This window comes from Homo sapiens, chromosome 22, assembly GCF_000001405.40.
Source record: "Homo sapiens chromosome 22, GRCh38.p14 Primary Assembly".
In the NCBI taxonomy this organism is placed as follows: domain Eukaryota; kingdom Metazoa; phylum Chordata; class Mammalia; order Primates; family Hominidae; genus Homo; species Homo sapiens.
Genome location: NC_000022.11, coordinates 19707198 through 19727244, shown reverse-complemented (window position 1 = coordinate 19727244; position 20047 = coordinate 19707198). Strand labels below are relative to the sequence as shown.

Here is a 20047-nt window from a genome sequence, read left to right as displayed (position 1 = left end):
ACAGCGTCCTCAACGTCCGCAGCGCCCTCACCGCCCCCACAGCGTCCTCACCGCCCCCACAGCGTCCTCACCTCCCCGACAGCGTCCTCACCGCCCCGACAGCGTCCTCACGGCGTCCACAGCGTCCTCACCGTCCCCACAGTGTCGTCACCGCGTCCACAGCGTCCTTAATGTCCGCAGCGTCCTCACCGCCCCCACAGCGTCCTCACCGCGTCCACAGCGCCCTCACCGCGTCCACAGCGCCCTCACAGCCCCGACAGCGTCCTCACCGCCCCCACAGCGTCCTCACCACCCCGACAGCGTCCTCACGGCGTCCACAGCGTCCTCACTGTCCCCACAGTGTCCTCACTGCGTCCACAGCGTCCTCAACGTCCGCAGCGCCCTCACCGCCCCGACAGCGTCCTCACCGCCCCCACAGCGCCCTCACCGCCCCGACAGCGTCCTCACCGCCCCGACAGCGTCCTCACCGCCCCCACAGCGTCCTCACGGCGTCCACAGCGTCCTCACCGCCCCGACAGCGCCCTCGCCGCGTCCACAGCGCCCTCACCGCCCCCACAGCGTCCTCACCGCCCCGACAGCGTCCTCACCGCCCCCACAGCGTCCTCACGGCGTCCACAGCGTCCTCACCGCGTCCACAGCGTCCTCACCGTCCCCACAGTGTCCTCACCGCGTCCACAGCGTCCTCACCGCCCCGACAGCTCCCTCGCCGCGTCCACAGCGTCCTCACCGCGTCCACAGCGTCCTCACCGCCCTGACAGCTCCCTCGCCGCGTCCACAGCGTCCTCACCGCGTCCACAGCGTCCTCACCGTCCCCACAGCGTCCTCACGGCGTCCACAGCGTCCTCACCGCGTCCACAGCGTCCTCACCGCCCCCACAGCGTCCTCACAGCGTCCACAGCGTCCTCATCGCGTCCACAGCGTCCTCACCGCCCCCACAGCGCCCTCACCGCGTCCACAGCGCCCTCACCGTCCCGACAGCGTCCTCACCGCCCCGACAGCGTCCTCACGGCCCCGACAGCGTCCTCACGGTCCCCACAGCGTCCTCACCGTCCCCACAGCGTCCTCACCGCGTCCACAGCGTCCTCACCGCCCCGACAGCGTCCTCACCGCCCCGACAGCGTCCTCATCGCCCCCACAGCGTCCTCAACGTCCGCAGCGTCCTCACTGCCCCGACAGCGTCCACAGCGTCCTCACCGTCCCCACAGCGCCCTCACCGCGTCCACAGCGTCCTCACCGCCCCGACAGCTCCCTCGCCGCGTCCACAGCGTCCTCACCGCGTCCACAGCGTCCTCACCGCCCTGACAGCTCCCTCGCCGCGTCCACAGCGTCCTCACGGCCCCGACAGCGTCCTCACGGTCCCCACAGCGTCCTCACCGTCCCCACAGCGTCCTCACCGCGTCCACAGCGTCCTCACCGCCCCGACAGCGTCCTCACGGTCCCCACAGCGTCCTCACCGCCCCCACAGCGTCCTCACCGCGTCCACAGCGCCCTCACCGCCCCCACAGCGTCCTCAGTGTCCACAGCGTTCTCACCGCCCCCACAGTGTACTCATTGTCCCCAATGTCCTCATTGTTACCTCCAGCGTCGTCAGTGTCCACAGCGTCCTCACCGCCCCCACAGCGCCCTCACCGCCTCCACAGCGTCCTGTCTACAGCGTCCCCATTGTCTCCACAGCCTCCTCACTGTCCACAGCGTCCTCACCGCCCCCACAGCGTCCTCACCGCGTCCACAGAGTCCTCACCGCCCCCACAGAGTCCTCACGGTCCACAGCGTCCTCACTGCCCCAACAGCGTCCTCACCGTCCACAGAGTCCTCACCGCCCCCACAGAGTCTTCGCCATCCCCACAGCGTCCTCACGGTCCACAGCGTCCTCACTGCCCCCACAGCGTCCTCACAGCATCCTCAGTGTCCCCACAGCGTTCTCACCGTCCACAGCGTCCTCACCGCCCCGGATAGCGTCCTCACCATCCCCACAGCGCCTTCACCGCCCCCACAGCGTCCTCACCGCCCCTACAGCGTCCTCACCGCCCCCACAGCGCCCTCACTGTCCACAGCGTCCTCACTGCCCCCAGTGTCCTCACTCCACAGTGTCCTCACCGCCCCCACAGCGTCCTCACTGTCCACAGCGTCATTGTCCCCACAGCGTCCGCAGTGTCCACAGCGTCCTCACTGCCCCCAGTGTCCTTACTGTCCCCACAGCATCCCCACAGCATCCTCACTGCCCCCACAGGGTCCTCAGTGTCCCCACAACGTCCTCACTGGCCCCCACGTTATCACTTAGCATCTCTCTCATGCCTTCCCATGTGGCCTTTTGGGAGTGTGTCTGGAAGGGGAGAGGTCACCCACTGACTCCTGTCTGCCCCTGAGGTTAGGGTGGGCATGTGAGGATGTGTTTGTGTCCCCTTGAACCGCCTCCTGGGGCCTTTTCCTGAGTTTGGCGAGGGGAATTTCCAGGTCAGTCGTGCAGAGAAGACCAGATCAGAAGGGTTTATTCAGCACCAGAGTTTGGAAGGGAGACGCAGCAGGGTCTGGACCGCATTGTGCCCCATGGTCCTCCCAAGCCTGGAAGTGCGGGTTCGCCTCCCTCGGGGTAGGGTGGGCAGGAGTTCTGTCCCACGTGGTCTGGGCCTGCAGGTGGGGTGGGTCTGAGAGATTGGGCAGCGGAGGAGGCGGGGACCGGTCCAGGTTGGCGCGAGGGCCCCTCGGGCAGGGTCCTGTCGAGTTTGCAGGCCCGTGTTGCCCAGCGCCGGTTCTCTCCTCAGGACGCACCGGTTCTCTCCTCAGGACTCGTCGGTTCCGGCTCGCTCGGCCACCAGCGGGTCGGTCAGCGACAGCCGGGCTGCGGCGCGAGCGCGGGCCCGGGCCCGCAGCCTCCGCAGGCGGCACAGCAGCAGCACCAGCAGCAACGCGTGCAGCAGCCCAAGGCCCAGCAGCGCAAGCTGCGCCGCCAGCGCCCCCCAGCAGAGCGGGCCGGGAGCGCAAGCGGCGCGCAGCTCGTCCTCGGCCAGATAGGGCAGCAGGCGGCCGCGCAGCGCTGGGGGCGCCACGCAACGCAGGTCGCGGTAGGGCGCACGCTCGGGGCGGCCGGCCAGCCAGGCGCGCAGCGGCACAAGGCGGCAGTCGCAGCGCCAGGGGTTGGCGCCCAGGTGTGCGGTGCGCAGCGCGGGCAGCGCGTCCAGCAGCCCCGGCGGCAGCGCCGTCAGGTTGTTGCCGGTCAGCACCAGCTCGGTTGTGTCGACAGGGAAGGCGGTCGGCAGCGAGGCCCAAGTCAGCCCGCGGCGCCCGCAGTCCACGAGCGTCCCCGCGCAGCTACAGGGCGCCGGGCAACCTGCGGCCGGGCGGCTCGGCGGGGCCAGCAGCAGGAGCAGTAAGCTCAGCGCCCCGCGCGGCCCTGCAAGGGAAGCGCCGCAGTAAGCCGAGCGGTCGGCGGGCACCTGGGCGACATCTCTGAGTACCCAGACTGCCGGCCCGGCTCCATCCAGCCCCTGATGCCCGGCGTCCCGGTAGCCCGCCAGCCTCTCCACCCTGACCACCCCGCACGCCGGCTGGAAGTCCCCTCTAAGTCTGACCCAAGTCTCTCCCAGCTGCAGCCAAACGACCAGAGCTCCTCTCAACCCGGGTCGGCCTAGGGAGCAGCCGGGGGCCCGACCGGACTCCAGACTCACCGGAGCCCATGGCGAGAAGACGGCAGCCCGGCTTACTCTGCAGCGGGAGGCGTAGGCGGGAGAGCCGAGCGATAAGGCCGCCCCGCCCCTGCCACGCCCGCACCGACCACAGTGCTGCGGCCTGGCCAGAAATAGCCCAGAGGCCGCGCGGACGCGCGCTGCAGCGGCAGATAGCACACTATCGCCGGAGGCCGCAGGCCGCTCAGGCTTCCGCTCCCACCCGCTCTCAGGGGCACACGGAGCACTCGGACACCCGCTGCGACGTTCACCAACATTGTTCTCCTGTCACCAGGACAGGACGCGGCATTCACAACGGAAGAAAACGGAGCATCGTGTGGCGGGAAGGGATCATGCGGGTGGGAACATCGGGAGGCCTAGGCTCAGGATCCCGGCACACCACAGCGGTGCTGGGGAGAAGAGGCCTCGAGCGAGGGCAGGGGACGGCACCGAGAGTTGCCAGGAGGTGGCTCACCGCCCAGTGCCCCGGGGGCCCTCCAGGTCGGGCCGGGCTGTGGAGAAGGGGTGTAAGCGGTCACGACCCCGCTCCTTGCAGCCTCTGGCCTCCTTATGTCTGGAGGGCTCCCATTTGATTCAGCCCAACCCTGCCCGCTAGGCGTCTGGGGATAAGGGAAGACTCGGCCCGCCTCGACAGAAAATGGGGTCTCAGCACTCGCTGGGTGACCCGCGGGAGCAGGCAAAGGAGGGCTCCCAAGTCCGTTCTGCAGCACTGGGGCAGGGAACAGACCCAGGATCCTGGGAATCCTCTTCTGCCTAGCTTTGCCTGCCTGCCAGAGCAGGGCCTGCGGTTTGGGTGCTGTGACCGTCCGGGGGCGGGGGAAGGGCAAGGGAGGCGGATCTCTGAAGTCCCGCCCAACTTCGCTCCTGATCCCCCAAGGTCAGAGAGGGCCAGCTGGGCGGGGGCTACGGTCCAGGCCCCTCGGAAACAGACACAATGACCTGGGAGGGGGTGGTGCTGAGAATAAATTAGGGTCAGCTGGGGGCTGTGGCCCCGCGTCTCCGGGTCGGGAACAGTCCGGTCTGGTGTCCAGGGGTGCGAGGGCGTCCCGGAGACGGACGGTGTGTCCGCGGCGAGCGTCACTGGTCCTGCATCTGCTGCTTCATCCTCTGCAGCATCTCCTGCATGCGCCTCAGCTGCGGGCGGAGACAACCCGGCGGGTGAGCAGCACCGCGGAGGAGCATCCCTGACGCCCGCCTCCGCCGCCCCCGCCGCCCCACATACTTCCTCATCCTTCATCCTGATAAGCTTCTCAGTCTCGGCGTCCGGGGTGGGCAGCGGCAGGATCGGGATGGGGCTCTCCATGCGGCTGTCCTGGGTCAGTTTGCTGCGCGGGGCGGGGGGGAGGATGGGCGGGGCGGCGCCACCGGGAGGCTCAGCGTGGGCTGGCGATGCCTGGCCCATCCCCGCCACTGCTGAGGCCCTGCCCTCCGGAGCCCTCACAGCCCTGGACTTGGTTCTAGGGAGACCAGGCTCTGGGGGAGGGGGGGGGCTTAGGGAATGGTGCAAAGTTCAAGTCTGGGTGGGCTGACAGGACCGGCCCTCAGTTATGGAGACGTGGGCGGGGCCAGAGGGGCGAGGTCTGGCTCGCGGCTGGGGCGCGCACCTGGTCATCTGCTGGATGCAGTGCGCGCGGTAGTTCTCGTAGTGCACGTCGCACGTCACGTCCTTGAGGTCGTGCATATGCGTGCGGATGAGCATGTTGCGCAGCTTCACGAAGTCGCAATGCGCCTGGTTCTCCACTGCGGGGTGGGGGTGGGTAGTGGGCTGGCGCCGGCCCAGGACAGCCTTCCCCCACCAGACCTGGTACCCCAAGACTCTACTCACCCTCCACGATCCCCCAGGGGTACAGTCGGCCCCGGACCCGCTGCCCCTTGGCCTCCACCACCGTGTTGCTGCCTATAACGGCGAAGGGCGCGCTCTCCTGGGGGAAGGAGGGAGAAAGGCTCACACCCGGTGAGCGTAATTGCACGGTTACTGATGGGAAACGGGCATGTAACTCCCGGGGCACCCCTCCAGCATCACCATCAACTATCTCTCCTCAAAGAGATCCTGGCGTTGCCCCTTTCTGGCCTCTCTGCCCCTGGCTGGAGCCAGAGCCCATGTGGCTCACATTCCAGGGCCTTTCCAGGCTATGCCCAACCAGGCATGCTCCCTCCTCATCTCCTCCCTCATCAAGAACCACCCCCTCCAGCTGCCCCTTCCCTCCCCAGGGCTGAGCCTATGTCTCCCCATGCTGATGCCCCTGCCCTGGTGGCCACCTGCCCCTGGCATGGTCTCCATCATCACTCTAGCTGCCGGGGCACCCAAAGCCACCAACCCTGGAGCTCAGAAATCTGGGAGCCAGGGTGTGCCACTGGGGCAGCCCCTTCCTCTGGTGACCCATGGGAAGAGGGTTGGGGTTGGGGGCCTGGCCCACTGCTGCACCTCTGGATCTGGGCAAGTGCTCCATACCTGCCAAGCACCACACGGGGCCCACATGACCCACCCCAGCCAGGCAAAGACATGGTGACCTTTACCTTCTAGCCCTGGATGAAGGGGGTACAGGTCCTCTACTCCTAGAACAAATGACTCTTGCACCCAACTGGGCTGACCTGGCCCTCCTCCAGCAGGCTCAATGTGAAGGAGACAAAGCCCTCTGGTTCTGCCCCTCACCAGCTCCATCCCCCCTGCCCCACCAGTCTGCATGTTCACCTTCAGTTCCCGGTCCTGCTGCTTGAAGTCCTCATCCTCGTCCGAGTCACACTCAGGGAACTGGTATACATGGATCCCAAACTTGTCAATCTCCTCCCGGATCTGTGGTGGGGCAAGGACCATCAGATTTGAGGCCAGACAAGTCCCCCTGGTACTCTCAGCCCCAGGGCCCTGGCCAGGCCCCTGTGCGACGGCAGGCTCACCCGCTCCTTCAGCTTCCGGATCTCACTGGGGACAAGACAGTCAGCTTTGGCGATGAGAGGCACGATGTTGACCTTCTCATGCAATGCCTTCATGAAACCCACATCCACTGGCCGCAGCCTGCCGAGAGCAGCCAAGGGTGGGCATAGGCACAGCCAGGGGGCCATATTGTAGGGGCTGCACTCCCGAGCCTGGCCCCAGGACAGCCACACACCCATGCCCGAAGGGGGAGATGAAGTATAGGCAGCAGTGCACTCGGTTGTCTTGGATGTTCTTTCGGTTGAGGCCGCTCTCATCACGGAAGTACTGCTCAAACTGCTGGTCCACATAGTCGGTGATGGGCTTCCAGCTGTGGGCAGGAGGGAGGTGAGGCCAGGCCTCGAGTGCTGTGGCCGCCTAGGCAAGGCCTTTCTCAGCAGGCCTCACTCACCACTCGGTGTTGTTGACAGCGTCCCCGAATCCCGGCGTGTCCACGATGGTGAGCTTCAGCTTGACTCCCTTCTCCTCAATGTCCACCGTGTGTTTTAGAATCTCTACCGTCTGGCTGATGCGCTCTACGGGGAAGGGGCCACTGGAAGGGCCTCTCCAACCCTCAGCCCCTCACCCTTGGCAGCCAGGACCCTCGTCCTCATCCATCTTGGTGCCTTGGCCCTACCCCCAGGGGACCCACACCGCGAGAACAGAACAGTGGGAGCTGGACCTGAAAGGGAGTCCTTGGAGAGGTCCCATGGAAGGGGACTGGGGATCAGTGCCAGGGCCTCCTGGGGGCCACTCACCCTCAGCACTGAGCAGCTTCCGGTCCTTGTACAAGTCTGTCAGGAAGAGGCTGTGGACCAGTGTGGACTTCCCCAGGCCTGACTCACCTGCACACAGGTACAGAGAAGGAGCTGCGTTAGGTCTGGGGCTCCAACGACAGAGCTTGGCTGGCCAGTGACCCCAGCCACTCCCCCGAGGAGCCTGGCCCACTCACCAGCCACCATGAGTGTGAAGTCAAAGCCTTTCTTCACCGACTTGCGGTGCACCTGGTTGGGCAGTGTGGCGAAGCCCACGTACTGCTTGTCAATGTCCTGGGGACAGGATGGAACAGGGTAGGGACACAAAGGTTTCTCCAGAAGCCCAATACCCTGTCTCTTACCAAATGCGGTATGAGGAGACAGCAGAGGGTACGGTTCCCAGGGTGGGGCATTTCGTTGGCAAAAATAAGGGGAGGGCCCGTGGGCAAAAGCCTGGAGATAAGAAGGCAGGCGAGGTGGTGGCAGGAGAAGGCACCCCTGGCCCCAATCCCAGGGAGGGCTCTGCAGGGACCGACACTGTATTTATTCCGTGGGGAGATGTCAGGCCGCAGCAGGCACAGGCGATGTCCTCCCTCCTCGGGCAGAGGGCAGCAGGATTGGGACCCCTGGGACACACTCAAGGCCCTCCATAAGCCGGAGAAGCTGGGGGCCTCGACACTCACCCCTCCGGAGAGTGCCAGGGGGCGGGAGGCCCCACCTGGCCCGGATCCAGCCGCGGGGGCGGCGGCAGCGGCGGTGGCGGAGCAGCGCCTATTTATAGACCGCGGCGCCGAGCCTCCCCCGCCCGCGCGCCCAGGCGCCCAGCCCCCGCAGACCCTTGGGGCCCCTGGAGGGGTCCCACGGCCGCATTCTCCGCCGCGTTTTGGAGTCGCGTGAGGTGAGGCCTGGACAGGGCACGTCGCCCCACCGTGGGGCCGCGGACCTGCGAGGCCGCTGCGGAGGGAAGGGCTGAGCCTAGGCGCTGGCGGGCCGTGGCGCGCGGGGACGGGGACCCCATGCCGAGTCCCGGAGCCCGCGGGGTCACAGACCCACGTTCCGCCCTCTCCACACACGCACCTTGAGCCGCCTCTGGGCCTGGGTCCGCGGCGACAGCAGCTGCTCCACCAGGCGGTCCTGGGGCGCTGCCAGCGAGTCCATCGCGGCGACCCCCCCAGGCCCGGGGGCACGCTCGGACCCCAGGCCCGGTCAGGCCGCCAGAGCCCGGCGACAGCGAGGGACCTTGGCGCGGCTCTGCCTTAGGCTGCGTTGTCCACCCCGTTTTGCGGACGCGGGAAGTGAGGCCTGGACAGGGCACGTCGCCTACCCGGGGGATCGTCGACCCCCGAGGCCGACCGAGCCATCCCCCTGACTGGGCGAACTGGCCCCAAGCTGTGGCGGCGTCGCAGTCCGGGCAGGCCCCGCTCCCGCACCCGAGCCAGAGGCGGGGCGTCGCAGGCGCCCGCGGAGCGCGCGGCGGGGGGCGGCAGAGACGGCCCCGCCCGCCGTCGCCGGGAAACGGTCGCCTGGAAATTGGGCCGCGGGCGGAGCCACCCGAAAGCGGCTGCGGAGGGCAGGGCTGAGCCGAGGCGCGGTCGGGCCATGGCTCGCGTGGACCGGGAGCCCTGCCGCGCCCCCGGGGCCTCAGTCCGGGCTCCAGGACAGCAGGAGGGGACGACCGGGTCCTGCACGCGGGCCGGGGCGGGCCGGGAGTCGGTAGCCACCGCGCGTCCCGCCCCCAAGAGGTGCTGCGCGGCTTCCGCCCGCCAGAGGGCGCCGGAGGCCGCTCCCGGGACCCACGCGCAACAGCGCGGGTACCCGCCCAGTTCAGGGCCCGCCGTCTTCTCGCAGACTTGCCCGAAAACCTCCCGGCGGCGTCTCGACGCCCCAAGTGCCCACAGACACGCCGCGCCCTGCACCCCTCCCCAGCCCTGCTTGGGGCTGACCTCCCCCGTGCGTGCGTGCGTGCGTGCGCGCGTTTGTGTGTGCGCGTCCGTGCGGGTGTGTGTGTGTAATGTGTGTGTGTGTAATGCCTGCGTGTGTGCGCGTGTATACATGCGTGTATGCGTGTGTGTGTACGTGTGTGCATGCATTGGGTATGTGCGTGTGCGCGGGTGTGTGCATGTGTGTTTGGTGGACTCTTTCCCAAGACATTCGGGGGACCGGAGGAGGGCAGAGCCCACCTTTTCTGAAGTCCAGCCTGCCTGTCCCCTAGGAGGCTTAGGGTGGACAGAAGGGAAGGGAAGGGAAAGGAAGGGTGCAGGCTGCCGGAGTACTGGAGGTCCCTGCAAAACTTGGAAGCCCCCGCCAGCCTGCTGAATAAACGCCGGCCACCCATGCGCTGCCCTGCAGCCCTCAGGTGGCCCTGCCCTCAGAGACAGGGGTGGGGGTGGGATGGGACCCATCTCCCACGTGCTTCTGTGGACATTCCCTTGCCCTCTGAGCATCCTCACCAGCTCTGACCCACAGGATTGGAGGGACTGGGAGCTCCTGCCAGCCGGGCCTCCCTCCCATGTGGCTACTCCAGGGACTGCGGGGGTCTCCCGAGCTCCGCTCTGTGGGCCACCCACCTCCATGACCCCAGTAGAATCCCAACAGGCAAGCCCAGCGGAGCAGGACATGGGGCCTGGAAAGGTTCCAGGGTAGGACTGGTCAGGCCAAGCCCCTGCACATTAGAACATTAGAAGCTGGAGGCCCCAACCCCACCCCACCCCACCCGCCACCAGCCCTCCCTTAGGCTCTCCTGGCTGAGAGACCTCCTCCACTTCCTGTCCAGGCCCTGGTCCTGTTGTGGGGCCTGGACCACTGGCACCTGGGGAGGAGGGGCAGGCCCACAGCTGGGAACAGGAGAGCCTTTCATCCCAGGGAAAGGGGGCAGCTCCAGGCCCCCCAGCTCTACCAGTGCATCCCTCAGTCCTTGCTGCCAGAAAGCCTCCTCACTGGCCCCAGCCTTCCATGGCCCTGACCTGCAGGAAGCCTCTAGGCTGAGTCCCACCCAGTTTCCAACTGAGGGTCCACACCTCGAAGCCCAGCACCCACCCAGACAGGCTGGCATCTCAGGCCCAGGGCATCTCCAGGAAGACAGACAGCCCTGGGCCTAGGCCTCAGGCTAGGAGGTGTCTAACAGAGTGTGTGGCTCTCAGACTGCCTGCCTCAGTTTCCCCATTGGTAAGGCACAGCCTCTGGGGAGGCCCAGGTCAGGAGGGCAAGAATCTCACTCTCAGCGTTCAACCCACCTGCCCTGCCACCCACTGGGGCCCAGTCAGGGCCTGTGGATTCCCTGGGGGAGCCTCAAGGAAGGGGCCGTACCTGCCACCCCCTTTCTCTGGTCCCCAAGTGACAAAAGATACTCCCAGGGCTTCCTGAGCCATATGACACAGCTGCGCCCATCTCCTCCCAATGCCTGAGCCTCTCTGGCACTTCCATTCTTAGAATCACCCGAGTCAGCTCTGGGAGCAGCAGCCAGGGCCAAGAGATCACCGGTGCTGCCTGTGAGGAGGTGGGGGCACAGAGCGTAGTGACGGAACTCCCCCAATGCCTCTACAGCCCCCTTTCAAAGAGCAAAAAGAATGCTTGGACAGGCTGAGGCTCAGCAACGGTGGTAGCAGGGAAGCTGCCATGTGCTTCCAGCTCCCCCAGACCCACTGGTCACCCAGACACCTGGCCTGGCTCCTGCTCCGGGGCTCCCTTCCTTGGCCACACAGTGCCTTCTTCCTCTGGGCTTGGAGGCCTGGGAGGCCTGGGATGGGGTGAGGTGGACTCCCGGTTGACCTCAAACGATGGGCACCTCAGCAGGAGGGGGTCCCCACCCTGCAGTAATGGGCAAGAGAACCTGGCTGCACCCAACAGCAGTGGCTGGAGCCCAGGGTCTCAGAGTGCCCTTGGGTCAAGCTGGGGACACCTGCAGGCACAGGAGAAGCCTCAGGGGCCTGGCCTCCTGGCTTTCCCAGCCTCAGTTCCTTCCATTTCCCTCAAACAGTAGCCTGACGCATGTGTCCCTGCATCTCAGGCTTTGTCTGACCTGCTGTGATGGGGAGGCAGCTCCCAGCCTGGCTCCCCAAGGGGCCCCTCCCAGAGAGCCTCATCCACCTCTGGGTGGGGTGTGTCCCTTCCAGGAGAATGGCACTGGTCAGCCAGTGACTCCCCCAGCTCCTGGCCCCCCTGCCCGCCCTCCTGCCCTGCCTGCTGCACCCTGGGCCAGGACTCTGGAGTTCCACTCAGCATCCATGGCTCCTGAGAAACTCCATCCCTGATGGGGGCTGCCAGTGCCACCCTGGTGCCAGAATTGGGCTCTTCTTTTTTCCTCCAAAGATGGCTGAGCTCAAGCCAGAGAGGACACCAGCAGGCTTTCCCCAGCCCCCCCAGCCCACCTGGTTGTCAGCCCCCGCCCCACCCCAGGGGCCTCACAGCATTGTTTAACCCTGAGCTCGGCTGGGTTTCACCCAGGTGCCTAGACCAGCCTCCTGTCCAGTCTTGCTTTCCTGGAGGGTGGGGCCAACCCTTTTGAGAAGCCACAAGCCTATTTGTACCCACAGGGTCCCAGGACCCATCTGGGCACCCAGAATGACTCAGACCAGACCCTGGGGGTTCCCAATCTGGGGAAGAGTCCCTGTTGCAGACCTGAACACTCAAATTTGTGTATGGGGAGGGAAAGGGGCATGAAGGTGCAGGGGAGGTGGGTGGTGACCACAGGCCCTCTGCTGTAGGGCTGTTCAGGGACTGTGCTGGCTGATGGAGCCTGACTCCCCTCCCCCAGCGTGGCCTGCCACGACCATGGCCTCACCCAGGACCCCCAGCTCATGGCCTACAGGCCAGGTCAGCAGGAGATGCTGGCACTGGCCCTGTGGGAGGGGGACACTCTGCCCATCCCCCCATCCTGGGGAGGGGCGCAGGGTCCCTGCTGTGCGGGTCCGGGGACCAGGGCCCCCACTCCTCTCCTCTGAAGCCCCAGGCGCGGCGGCACTGCCCGGCTGACAATCGGTGATCGCGACAGGGCTGGGTGAGGGCCGGCGGGGGCGGGGTCGCGCCTGGGCGCCCAAGGCGCTAGTGTCACAATGGGTGACAGCCGGCCGGGTCTCCCGGCGGGGGAGCGGCGCTGCGCACGTACCTGCTTGTCCTCTGCGGGGTCGGGGTCGGGGTCGAGTCCGGGTCCGGTTCCGAGCGGGTCCGGGCCGGCGGGCGGGGGAGAGACGGAGAGACACGGTGAGAGGCGCGCGGGCGGCGGGGACAAAGGCGCGCGCGGGCACGCGGGCAGGCGCTGGGCTCACCTGGGGTCGCCAGCTTGCTCTTGTACCGCAGGCCTGTGCTCATGGTGGCCGCCGGCGGGGGACGTGCGGGGCGGGCTCGCGGGCGGGGCGCGACGACAAGCGGCGGAGGCCGAGGCCGGGCTGCGGGGTGAGCGGCCCCTCCGCGCCGCCGCCGCCGCCGCCCGCTCCGCCCGCGCGCCCGGCAGCCAATCGGCGCCCGCCGCGCCCACGCGCGACCCAGGGCGGCCCGGGGGGGCGGGGACCCAGGTCCCCCACCATGGACCCGAGACCACGGCCTCGGGGCGACGCCCTCGCCTCCTACAGCCCTGGCCGCGCCCGGGGTCACCCGACCAGACCCGCGCCGCCCCCGCCCTGCACGGCTGTTCCTGCCGGCCTCCTCCCCGCCACCTCCCCGGTGCCGCAGCCCAGGCCCAGCCTTACGCTCCCCCCGCCCTCGCTGGGACCCGGGTCCATGCCGGTCCTCGGACCATCCGTCCGGTGGCCCTTCTCTAAAGCCTGCCCTGGCTTTCCGGGCCAGACCCTGCACGCTCCGCCCCACCCCGCCGAGGTCAGCAGGGATGGTCCTGGCGCGGCTGGCCAGTGCCCAGCATTGCCCCTGCTGACCGCTCGGTGCTGCGCAGACCTGCTCTGCGAGCAGACGCACCTGGCAGGCTGTAGGCCACAGGCTTTTGGGCAGTGGTCCGGCCTCTCTCTTCCTGGGCTGTAAAATGGGATTATTTGTGAAGAGGAGTGATCTGAGGTGTCTGGCAGGACCGGCCCTGACCGTCTCACCCCAGCTCTGCGCCTGCTTCTCTGCTGACCCATAGGCTGTGGGGATGCTCCAGGCAGACCCGATCCCACCCTGCGGAGAAGGCTTGTAGGGGACCGAGGGGCACTGTGAAGGCAGGGCCAGGGCCTGCACCCCATTTACAGAGGGGGAAGTTCAGGCCCTAATCTTCAGTGAGTCAGCCAGACTCAGTGACTGAGAGCAAGTCTCTCCGGTCATTTGTGTCACTATCACATTCCCAGGTGTCCTCCGCCTGGACTTTCCCAAAGTGTCCCCAGGCGGCATCTCTGAAGGCTTTGGGGCTGTCAGGCTTGCGGTCACCACCTCCCCAGGTGAGGGCCCCCTTGTATGGAGATGTCTCCTGCACCCCGTATAGACAGTACCTCCACAGCCAGGGAATCCGCCTCTGCTCCCCACCCGTCCTGTGCCCCTTGGTCCCTCTGCTGGCCCGTGGGCTCCCTGGGTGGAGGGGGGTGTCGCTAGGGCCTTTCCATCTCTGAATCACCAGCACCCAGCACGGTAAGTGAAAAATTCATGTAAGCCGCGTCTTTGTTCCACAGTCCTTGCTCTGCTGCATTCTGTGGCCAGAGCGCCGTTGACCATAACCCTGCTCTGGGTCTAGAACTCTAACCAGTGTAGGGATCCCCCACAGTCCCAACCTCTCATCCAAGATGTGTTTGGAACTCAGGCTTTTTTGTATACATCATACATTATGTGGCACCTCTTTGGAACCTGGGGCTGCTCCTCATAATCAGACCCATTTATATTTTCGGGGCAAAACATATGTATTCAGGTGAACTGGAAGAAATAAAGACAGTAAGTGATGGCGCATCGTTCAGGTCCAGCTTTGCCACTGAGTTTTGAAAAACCTTTATGTTTCTGAGCTTTGGAGAATTTGGAATTTCGATAAAGAAATGTGTGTTGAGGTCAGGAGATCAAGACCATCCTGGCTAACACGGTGAAACCCCGTCTATTAAAAATACAAAAAATTAGCTAGGCATGGTGGCACATGCCTGTAGTCCCAGCTATTCAGGAGACTGAGGCAGGAGAATCACTTGAACTCAGAAGGCGGAGGTTGCAGTGAGCCGAGATCGCACCACTGCACTCCACTCCAGCCTGAGCCAAAGAGCCAGACTCCGTCTCAAAAAAAAAAAAAAAAAAAAAAAAAAAAGAATGTGTGTGTGGGGGTAGGGGCACTCAAAGGGCCAGGCAGGACTTCTGAGCATAGACAGGACTTTTTGGAAAGAATTGGAAAATGATGGTTGGCTGTTCACCACGTGCTGACCCATGCAAGCCTGTGCTTGTGGAGACAAAGGAGGAGAGACAGGAGCCCTGCCCAGGGGGAGGCAGGCAGCCTGTGAAAGGCACCAGCTCAGCGCCCCTCCCCATGGCTCAGGTGGCAGGGCAGCTCTGGACAGCCTTGGGTTAGGGGGTTTGAACTTGGCCTTGAGACAAGTGCATAGCAGGTCAAGGGCATAGCTCAAAGGGTGGGAGGCACATGTATACAGGAGTAATAGGTTTTAAAACAAATCTGGAGATAGAAGACAAGAAAGATGAGGAATACGGCATAAACATGATCTTTTTTAAAAAAGTCTGTCCCAAAAGATTACTTACAGAAATGCAGTTAGATTGGAGACCAGTGTTTAAGGGACAGCCAGCCTGGAGGCTGATGGAATATATAGGACTGGGAGCCACTCCTTGGAAGAGTGAAGTCAAGGGTGGTCCTGGGTCAGCGCCTCATGTAAAATGCCTGGGCTGGAAGGGGGAAGCGGCATCTGCTCCCTTACTCTGGGACTTTGGTCACCATGACTGTGAGTGCAGGGACAGCCCGAGTCCCTCCACAGACACATCGAGGCTGCACCCTGTCTAGCTGGGAGGCCTGCTGGATGGCATAGTGTCTGCATGGGACATTTCTGAAGTCAGGAAAATGGGTCATGAGGGCATCGGTCAGCAGACGCGTCTCCAGTTCTGCCAGGTGAGGCTTTGAGATACTGGCCACCACAATGGAGGCTGACAGCCCAGTGAAACCCTTATTATGCTCCTGTTCACCAAAAAGCCAACCAGGCAGGCCTGGTGGCTCACGCCTATCATTGTAGCACTTTCGGTGGCCAAGGTGGGAGGATGACTTGAGGCCAAGAGTTTGAGACCAGTCTGGGCAAGAATGTGAGACCCCGTTTCTATAAAAATTAAAAATTAAAAAAAAAAAACTGGCTGTGGTGGCATGAGTCTGTAGTCTCAGCTACTCAGGAGGCTGAGGCCAGAGGCTCACTTGAGCCTGGGAGTTTGAGGCTGCATGCAGTGAGCCGTGATGGTGCCACTGCACTCCAGCCTGGGCAACAGAGTGAGACCTTGTCTCAAAAAAAATGAAAAAACAAACAAACAACACCCAAGCCTTGGGGCTGTGGCTGATATCAGGGGGGCTGGAGCCACAGGGCAGTGGTCTGAACACACACACTTACCTCTCCAAGATGCCATGGCTTGAAAGAAAACTGCCTGCCAAAGTGGGTGTGTGCATCCACTTTCCCCAGCAGGCAGAGGAAGCGCTGGCTGTGGTACAAAAAGAAGTAAATAAAGCACTCCTTTGTGGAAAAAAAAATGCTATTTTTTAATTCATAAGGAAAAGAAGTTAATGAATAAAAAAATAAGCTACACCAAGAAAAATCTGTTCAACCAACTTGGGCTACAAATAGCTTGACTCTTTTCAGAAAAAGCCTCTTAGTGAAGAAATTCTCCAGAGGCTGCATTTGAACCATGCTGGGCCTCCCTCAGCACACAGGGGAGTGAGCGCCCCAGGGCTGGGACCCGGAGAAGGATGGAGCTGGTGGGGAGGTGGCAACGGTGATGGCGACGAAAGAATAAGGCACCTGCCATTGGCCCTTGGGAGCAGGTCTTGTGGGTGACAGGCTTCAGAGGGGGAGCAGTTTGCTCCAGGTGACACATGTCGCCACACTCCCAAGCCTGTCATCTGCAGTTAGGGCTGAGGCCACCACTGACAGGTTCCAGATGGCTCAGTCCATCTGAGGCTGAGGATGAGGGAAGAGGCCAAGATGCATGCAGGGTGTCAGGCACCTGAGAGCCCCACAGGCCTACCTGCATGATCAACTCGGGCAACCCTGACCTGTGCTGGGAATGGGGTGTTTTTTCACCCTGAGTAGACGCAGGAAGTGGAGGTCAGGGCGCGGTGGAGATCTGCTTGAGACTAAACAGCCGAGACTAGAACCCACGACCGTGGAGCCCAGGCCTGACTCCTGCAAAGTGCTGTGACCTGGTCGCGGCCCAGCCAGGGGCTGTCCCAATCAGGCAGCTGCTCGAGGCCTGAGCTCACATCCCTTCTATCCCCTGAATTCACCAGCAACCTGGTGGGTCCCAGATGATCCTCCTGACCCCTGCATTTTTCTACTGCTCTCATGCTCCTGTCCCTGCTGTTCCTGAAGCCCTCGCCCGCCAACCCTGTGAGATTTGAACCCACCCCCAGTACCTGGGGGCTCCGAGGGAGGCCGTGTGACCTGCAGCTTCATGCCCCTGCACCTTGGCACTAGTGTGCCCCCTGCCTGGGCTGCCCTTCTCTAGCTCTGCCGACCCAGCAGCACTGTCTCCAGCCCCTCCAGGCCCACCGTGCCCTATGCTGGCCTCTCTTCTGCAGGACATGGCCTGCCAGGCAGCAGACTCCCGACTGGCTCCCTGGCCCCCACACTCAGCCCCTGTCTGGCACCTGGGAAGCTCAGCAGCATCAGCTCCTGCTGGGTGGGGGCACAGGCTCCTAGGCGTGGATTCACAGGGCGGGCAAGGAGGGCCTGACTAAAGAGCCAGGCTCTGGGGAGCTTCAGACTGCATATTCTGAATCCCAAAACCTCTACTGTCTGCAGAGGGGTGCTTGTGTGCTCAGCCCAGCTCAGGGGGGTGTGCGGAGACCAGGAGGTTCTGGGGCGTCCTCCCTGCTCCCAAAGGCAGTGGCTGTCACCGAGCACAAGGGGAAGTGTGTGCACAGTGAGGATTCTACTGAAGAATGTTTTCCTTGATCTCCTTTTCAGAAAAATGTAAGGGGGTCACTGCACAAATCAGTCCTCATCACCGATGGGAAGACATGCCCATTAGAAGAGCACAGAACCCACAGCAGCTGTCTCTGCCTGGAGGGTGCGGCCTGGTCCTGCTTAAAGCCGCCTATGTCTTGCAGCGGTGGACAGAATAGGGCTTCAAGGGGGCTGAGTCTCAGTCCACACCAAGTCCCCGATTCCCTGGGCAGCTGGAGTGAGTGCTACAAAGGGCGCCTGTGCTCCACGGCAGGGAGCCAGCCTGGATCCAGAGCTGAGGGTCTGAGGGAGGTGGGTCTGCAGCCACATCTGATGGGCCTTCAGAGTCCCCTGAAGGATCTGGGACGGCGCCTGCAAGATAACACAGAGAGCAGCCCAGGGTAGGGACCAGGCGTGCAGTGTGACTCAGCTGGGAAGAGCTCCCCACGGTAGGGGGCGGAGGGGAACCCTCCACAGGGATGCTGCCTGAGGGGGCTGCACGGGACCATCCCCAGGCTGTCCCGGCAGGCAGAGGTCCTCACTGCAGTTCTGTGATTTTATGAGAAGCTGAAGGTGGAAGAATAGCAGATGAATGAAGAGATGTGAAATGGCACCAATGTTGATATTCTCCTGTGTCATGCATGGAAGCATGACAAACATCCCACGGGAGCAAGCGCTTGCGAAAGGCAGAGAGCAGGGCCAGAGCACGGTGACCTAGATCCTGCGGCTCACCCCACCCCTCCATCACAAAGAGCTCAGCGCTGGGCTCCAGGGACTGGCTCCAGCTCCCCACTGCATCTACCTCCCAGTCAGGCAAGAGAGATCTGAAAATCACTCTGGAATAAACAGGACCCTACTGTCCCGTCTTCAGGACCTCTGTTCCCTGGACCCTGGTGCTGCGTGCAAATGCACTGCCTGTTGCACACCCAGGCTCCCACGGGGAAGGTGGTTGCCAGAGCCCTCAACTTGGCGGCCCATCACCTGGTTTCGAGGCCTCAGGTGATGGCCATACCTGGGTGAGGATGAGGACCCCAGTCTCAGCTCATTCCCTGCCATTGTGTCCTCTCCAGCCCCCCGGACTGAACGCCACAGAGGCCGCCTCTCCCATGGAGGACAGCCAGAGCTCTGCCTGCCCCAGAATGCACAGCACACATTGCTGCGGGGGCGGATGGTGTGGGTCAGGAGGGTGAGGAGCTGCCATCCCCGGGTGCCATGGCCAGGGCCATTGGCAGAGCGGGGCCAGCCTGCGTGAGGGCTCCTGCTCCCACTTGCAGGGCGTGGTGGCAGCTCTGCCCTGCTCCTCATTTGCCCCAGGTTGGACCCCATTTCCCATCAAGCATGTGTTGCACCCATTGTAGGCTGGAGCCATGATCAGCCCTGAGCAGGGGATTCCCCGTTGGTGGAGACAGACACACCCTGTACCAGGATGCCGCCAAAGTCCTTCCACTTGACTGGGGAAAGCATGTCGCTGGACCTCCGTGGCCAGTGGCCAGCCGGCTGTCACGTCCTGGACTGAAGTGGATTCCTGCCCCTCCTTGTTCCAAAGGCTGCCTTTAAAGTGGTGGAGGCTTTTAGGGTCCCCTAGAGATGGGGGAGCAGCAGGAGACAGAGCCCCTAAGACAGGGGCTGCTTTTGCAGGAAAGGAGGGGCCCCTTGTCCTCACCGGAAAAGCAGGCAGGAGGTACGAGGCTCAGCCCTCAACCCTGCATGCTTTGACCAGCATCCCCTCAGAGGTGGCCGAGCAGGTTTCAGCCAAAGAAGGAAGCATGATCAGGTGCACCTGGGAGCTGAACCTGGGGAGACCCAAGCGGGGCCTTGCAGGGCAAAGGAGTTACTCTGTCCCCTCCCCGGGGCTCTTGCCGAAGGGCTCGTTCTGCAGCCAGGGATCTTCACAGCCATTCAGCTGCAGGCCCGTCTTGAGTGAGTCCTGCCCCCTCTCGCCTGGTGAGCAGCTGCGTGTGGCCCTCTTGGCAGGACAGTGCCAGCGTGCCACCCAGTCCTCCCTCTAGGACTTCCCAACCAGCAAGGGGTGCAGGCGGAGGGCACTGGTGAGGGCAGGACTCGTACCTCTGGTCTGCACTGCAGCTGCCAGCCGCAAATCTCACAGCGGCACAGATCAGAAGACCCCATACACCCGGAGTGGTGGCAGAGACCCTCTTTCCTTGGGGCTTCACGTTGGGGGATCAACATGCCACAAGCCTGCATAGCCAGGAAAGCGGGGCTGGGCCTCGAGTGCTGGCTTAGAGTTCGGGGGAGTACCTGGAGCCCAGCAGAGGGGCCCTGGGCAGGTGCTGGCCACGGCAGGTGGGGTGAGGGAGGCAGGGCTGATGCACAGGGGCTCGGCCTGGGTGAGGGCCTTGTTGGGCAGGTCTCCTTCTTCTGGTGCAGGGCCAGCATGCAATTGGCCAGGTTTGGGCCTTGCTACCAAAACAGCCTGCAAAGCCTTGCCCGACCTCTGGCCCAGGGTCTGGGCCCGTGACTCCCAGACAGACACTGTGACAGACACTGGTCAAACCAAGGGTCCAACTACAGACCCCTGCATCCTCAGAAGCCCCTGTCCCATGCCAGGGCCCAGTCATCTTGCAGCATGGGGCAGGGGCCCATGCCCCACTTGTGCCTCAGGGGACTGTCTTGGCTGCCCTGATCCTCGAGGTTATT

General features: G+C 63.9%; 2 protein-coding genes and 2 long non-coding RNA genes across 6 annotated transcripts, besides 13 other annotated features; 1 reads left to right on the top strand and 3 right to left on the bottom strand.

The window, feature by feature from the left end:
- Positions 654-1229: an enhancer, noted in NCBI's record as "H3K27ac-H3K4me1 hESC enhancer chr22:19713539-19714114 (GRCh37/hg19 assembly coordinates)". NCBI's record gives its function as "activates a minimal SCP1, AML or CMV promoter by ChIP-STARR-seq in primed H9 embryonic stem cells {active_cell/tissue: H9 hESC(primed)}" and the evidence as "EXISTENCE:reporter gene assay evidence [ECO:0000049][PMID:30033119]".
- On the bottom strand, positions 2471-10025 carry SEPT5-GP1BB (SEPT5-GP1BB readthrough). Of its 2 annotated transcripts, none has more exons than NR_037611.1 (12): positions 8427-10025; positions 7547-7643; positions 7353-7439; positions 7007-7130; positions 6791-6925; positions 6579-6696; positions 6376-6477; positions 5509-5605; positions 5288-5423; positions 4906-5008; positions 3666-4817; positions 2471-3391 (listed from the first exon to the last, which is right to left on the bottom strand). It is a non-coding gene; the product is annotated as an SEPT5-GP1BB readthrough (long non-coding RNA). The 2 variants fall into 2 exon arrangements; NR_037612.1 differs by having other exon boundaries at positions 8674-8776.
- Positions 2474-3706, bottom strand: GP1BB (glycoprotein Ib platelet subunit beta). Its single transcript, NM_000407.5, has 2 exons — positions 3666-3706; positions 2474-3391 (listed from the first exon to the last, which is right to left on the bottom strand). Exons 1-2 carry the CDS (start codon positions 3673-3675, stop codon positions 2781-2783), a joined length of 621 nt encoding a protein of 206 aa, NP_000398.1. The 5' UTR covers positions 3676-3706; the 3' UTR covers positions 2474-2780.
- Positions 2825-3602: an enhancer, noted in NCBI's record as "H3K27ac-H3K4me1 hESC enhancer chr22:19711166-19711943 (GRCh37/hg19 assembly coordinates)". NCBI's record gives its function as "activates a minimal SCP1, AML or CMV promoter by ChIP-STARR-seq in primed H9 embryonic stem cells {active_cell/tissue: H9 hESC(primed)}" and the evidence as "EXISTENCE:reporter gene assay evidence [ECO:0000049][PMID:30033119]".
- Positions 3603-4381: an enhancer, noted in NCBI's record as "H3K27ac-H3K4me1 hESC enhancer chr22:19710387-19711165 (GRCh37/hg19 assembly coordinates)". NCBI's record gives its function as "activates a minimal SCP1, AML or CMV promoter by ChIP-STARR-seq in primed H9 embryonic stem cells {active_cell/tissue: H9 hESC(primed)}" and the evidence as "EXISTENCE:reporter gene assay evidence [ECO:0000049][PMID:30033119]".
- SEPTIN5 (septin 5) lies at positions 3926-12742 on the bottom strand. Of its 2 annotated transcripts, NM_002688.6 has the most exons (12): positions 12614-12742; positions 12454-12464; positions 7547-7643; positions 7353-7439; positions 7007-7130; positions 6791-6925; positions 6579-6696; positions 6376-6477; positions 5509-5605; positions 5288-5423; positions 4906-5008; positions 3926-4817 (listed from the first exon to the last, which is right to left on the bottom strand). In NM_002688.6, the coding sequence occupies exons 1-12, from the start codon at positions 12654-12656 to the stop codon at positions 4761-4763; spliced, it is 1110 nt and encodes a 369-aa protein (NP_002679.2). In that variant the 5' UTR covers positions 12657-12742; the 3' UTR covers positions 3926-4760. The 2 variants fall into 2 exon arrangements, with proteins under 2 accessions (NP_002679.2, NP_001009939.1); NM_001009939.3 differs by lacking the exons at positions 12454-12464; positions 12614-12742 and adding an exon at positions 8427-8802 and having other exon boundaries at positions 5288-5412.
- Positions 7459-7959: an enhancer, noted in NCBI's record as "H3K4me1 hESC enhancer chr22:19706809-19707309 (GRCh37/hg19 assembly coordinates)". NCBI's record gives its function as "activates a minimal SCP1, AML or CMV promoter by ChIP-STARR-seq in primed H9 embryonic stem cells {active_cell/tissue: H9 hESC(primed)}" and the evidence as "EXISTENCE:reporter gene assay evidence [ECO:0000049][PMID:30033119]".
- Positions 7960-8460: an enhancer, noted in NCBI's record as "H3K4me1 hESC enhancer chr22:19706308-19706808 (GRCh37/hg19 assembly coordinates)". NCBI's record gives its function as "activates a minimal SCP1, AML or CMV promoter by ChIP-STARR-seq in naive H9 embryonic stem cells {active_cell/tissue: H9 hESC(naive)}" and the evidence as "EXISTENCE:reporter gene assay evidence [ECO:0000049][PMID:30033119]".
- Positions 8052-8231: a silencer, noted in NCBI's record as "silent region_13466". NCBI's record gives its function as "represses an Ori minimal core promoter by ATAC-STARR-seq in GM12878 lymphoblastoid cells {active_cell/tissue: GM12878}" and the evidence as "EXISTENCE:reporter gene assay evidence [ECO:0000049][PMID:35858748]".
- Positions 8636-8806: a silencer, noted in NCBI's record as "fragment chr22:19705962-19706132 (GRCh37/hg19 assembly coordinates)". NCBI's record gives its function as "represses an EF-1alpha promoter that drives an FKBP-Casp9 reporter gene in an ReSE screen in K562 erythroleukemia cells {active_cell/tissue: K562}" and the evidence as "EXISTENCE:reporter gene assay evidence [ECO:0000049][PMID:32094911]".
- Positions 8783-8962: a silencer, noted in NCBI's record as "silent region_13465". NCBI's record gives its function as "represses an Ori minimal core promoter by ATAC-STARR-seq in GM12878 lymphoblastoid cells {active_cell/tissue: GM12878}" and the evidence as "EXISTENCE:reporter gene assay evidence [ECO:0000049][PMID:35858748]".
- Positions 8783-9448: a biological region, named in NCBI's record as "H3K27ac-H3K4me1 hESC enhancer GRCh37_chr22:19705320-19705960".
- Positions 8808-9448: an enhancer, noted in NCBI's record as "H3K27ac-H3K4me1 hESC enhancer chr22:19705320-19705960 (GRCh37/hg19 assembly coordinates)". NCBI's record gives its function as "activates a minimal SCP1, AML or CMV promoter by ChIP-STARR-seq in naive H9 embryonic stem cells {active_cell/tissue: H9 hESC(naive)}" and the evidence as "EXISTENCE:reporter gene assay evidence [ECO:0000049][PMID:30033119]".
- Positions 8973-9392: a silencer, noted in NCBI's record as "silent region_13464". NCBI's record gives its function as "represses an Ori minimal core promoter by ATAC-STARR-seq in GM12878 lymphoblastoid cells {active_cell/tissue: GM12878}" and the evidence as "EXISTENCE:reporter gene assay evidence [ECO:0000049][PMID:35858748]".
- Positions 9449-10090: an enhancer, noted in NCBI's record as "H3K27ac-H3K4me1 hESC enhancer chr22:19704678-19705319 (GRCh37/hg19 assembly coordinates)". NCBI's record gives its function as "activates a minimal SCP1, AML or CMV promoter by ChIP-STARR-seq in naive H9 embryonic stem cells {active_cell/tissue: H9 hESC(naive)}" and the evidence as "EXISTENCE:reporter gene assay evidence [ECO:0000049][PMID:30033119]".
- On the top strand, positions 12450-18255 carry LOC124905079 (uncharacterized). The gene is made up of 2 exons (XR_007068003.1): positions 12450-12548; positions 17411-18255. It is a non-coding gene; the product is annotated as an uncharacterized LOC124905079 (long non-coding RNA).
- Positions 18093-18600: an enhancer, noted in NCBI's record as "H3K4me1 hESC enhancer chr22:19696168-19696675 (GRCh37/hg19 assembly coordinates)". NCBI's record gives its function as "activates a minimal SCP1, AML or CMV promoter by ChIP-STARR-seq in naive H9 embryonic stem cells {active_cell/tissue: H9 hESC(naive)}" and the evidence as "EXISTENCE:reporter gene assay evidence [ECO:0000049][PMID:30033119]".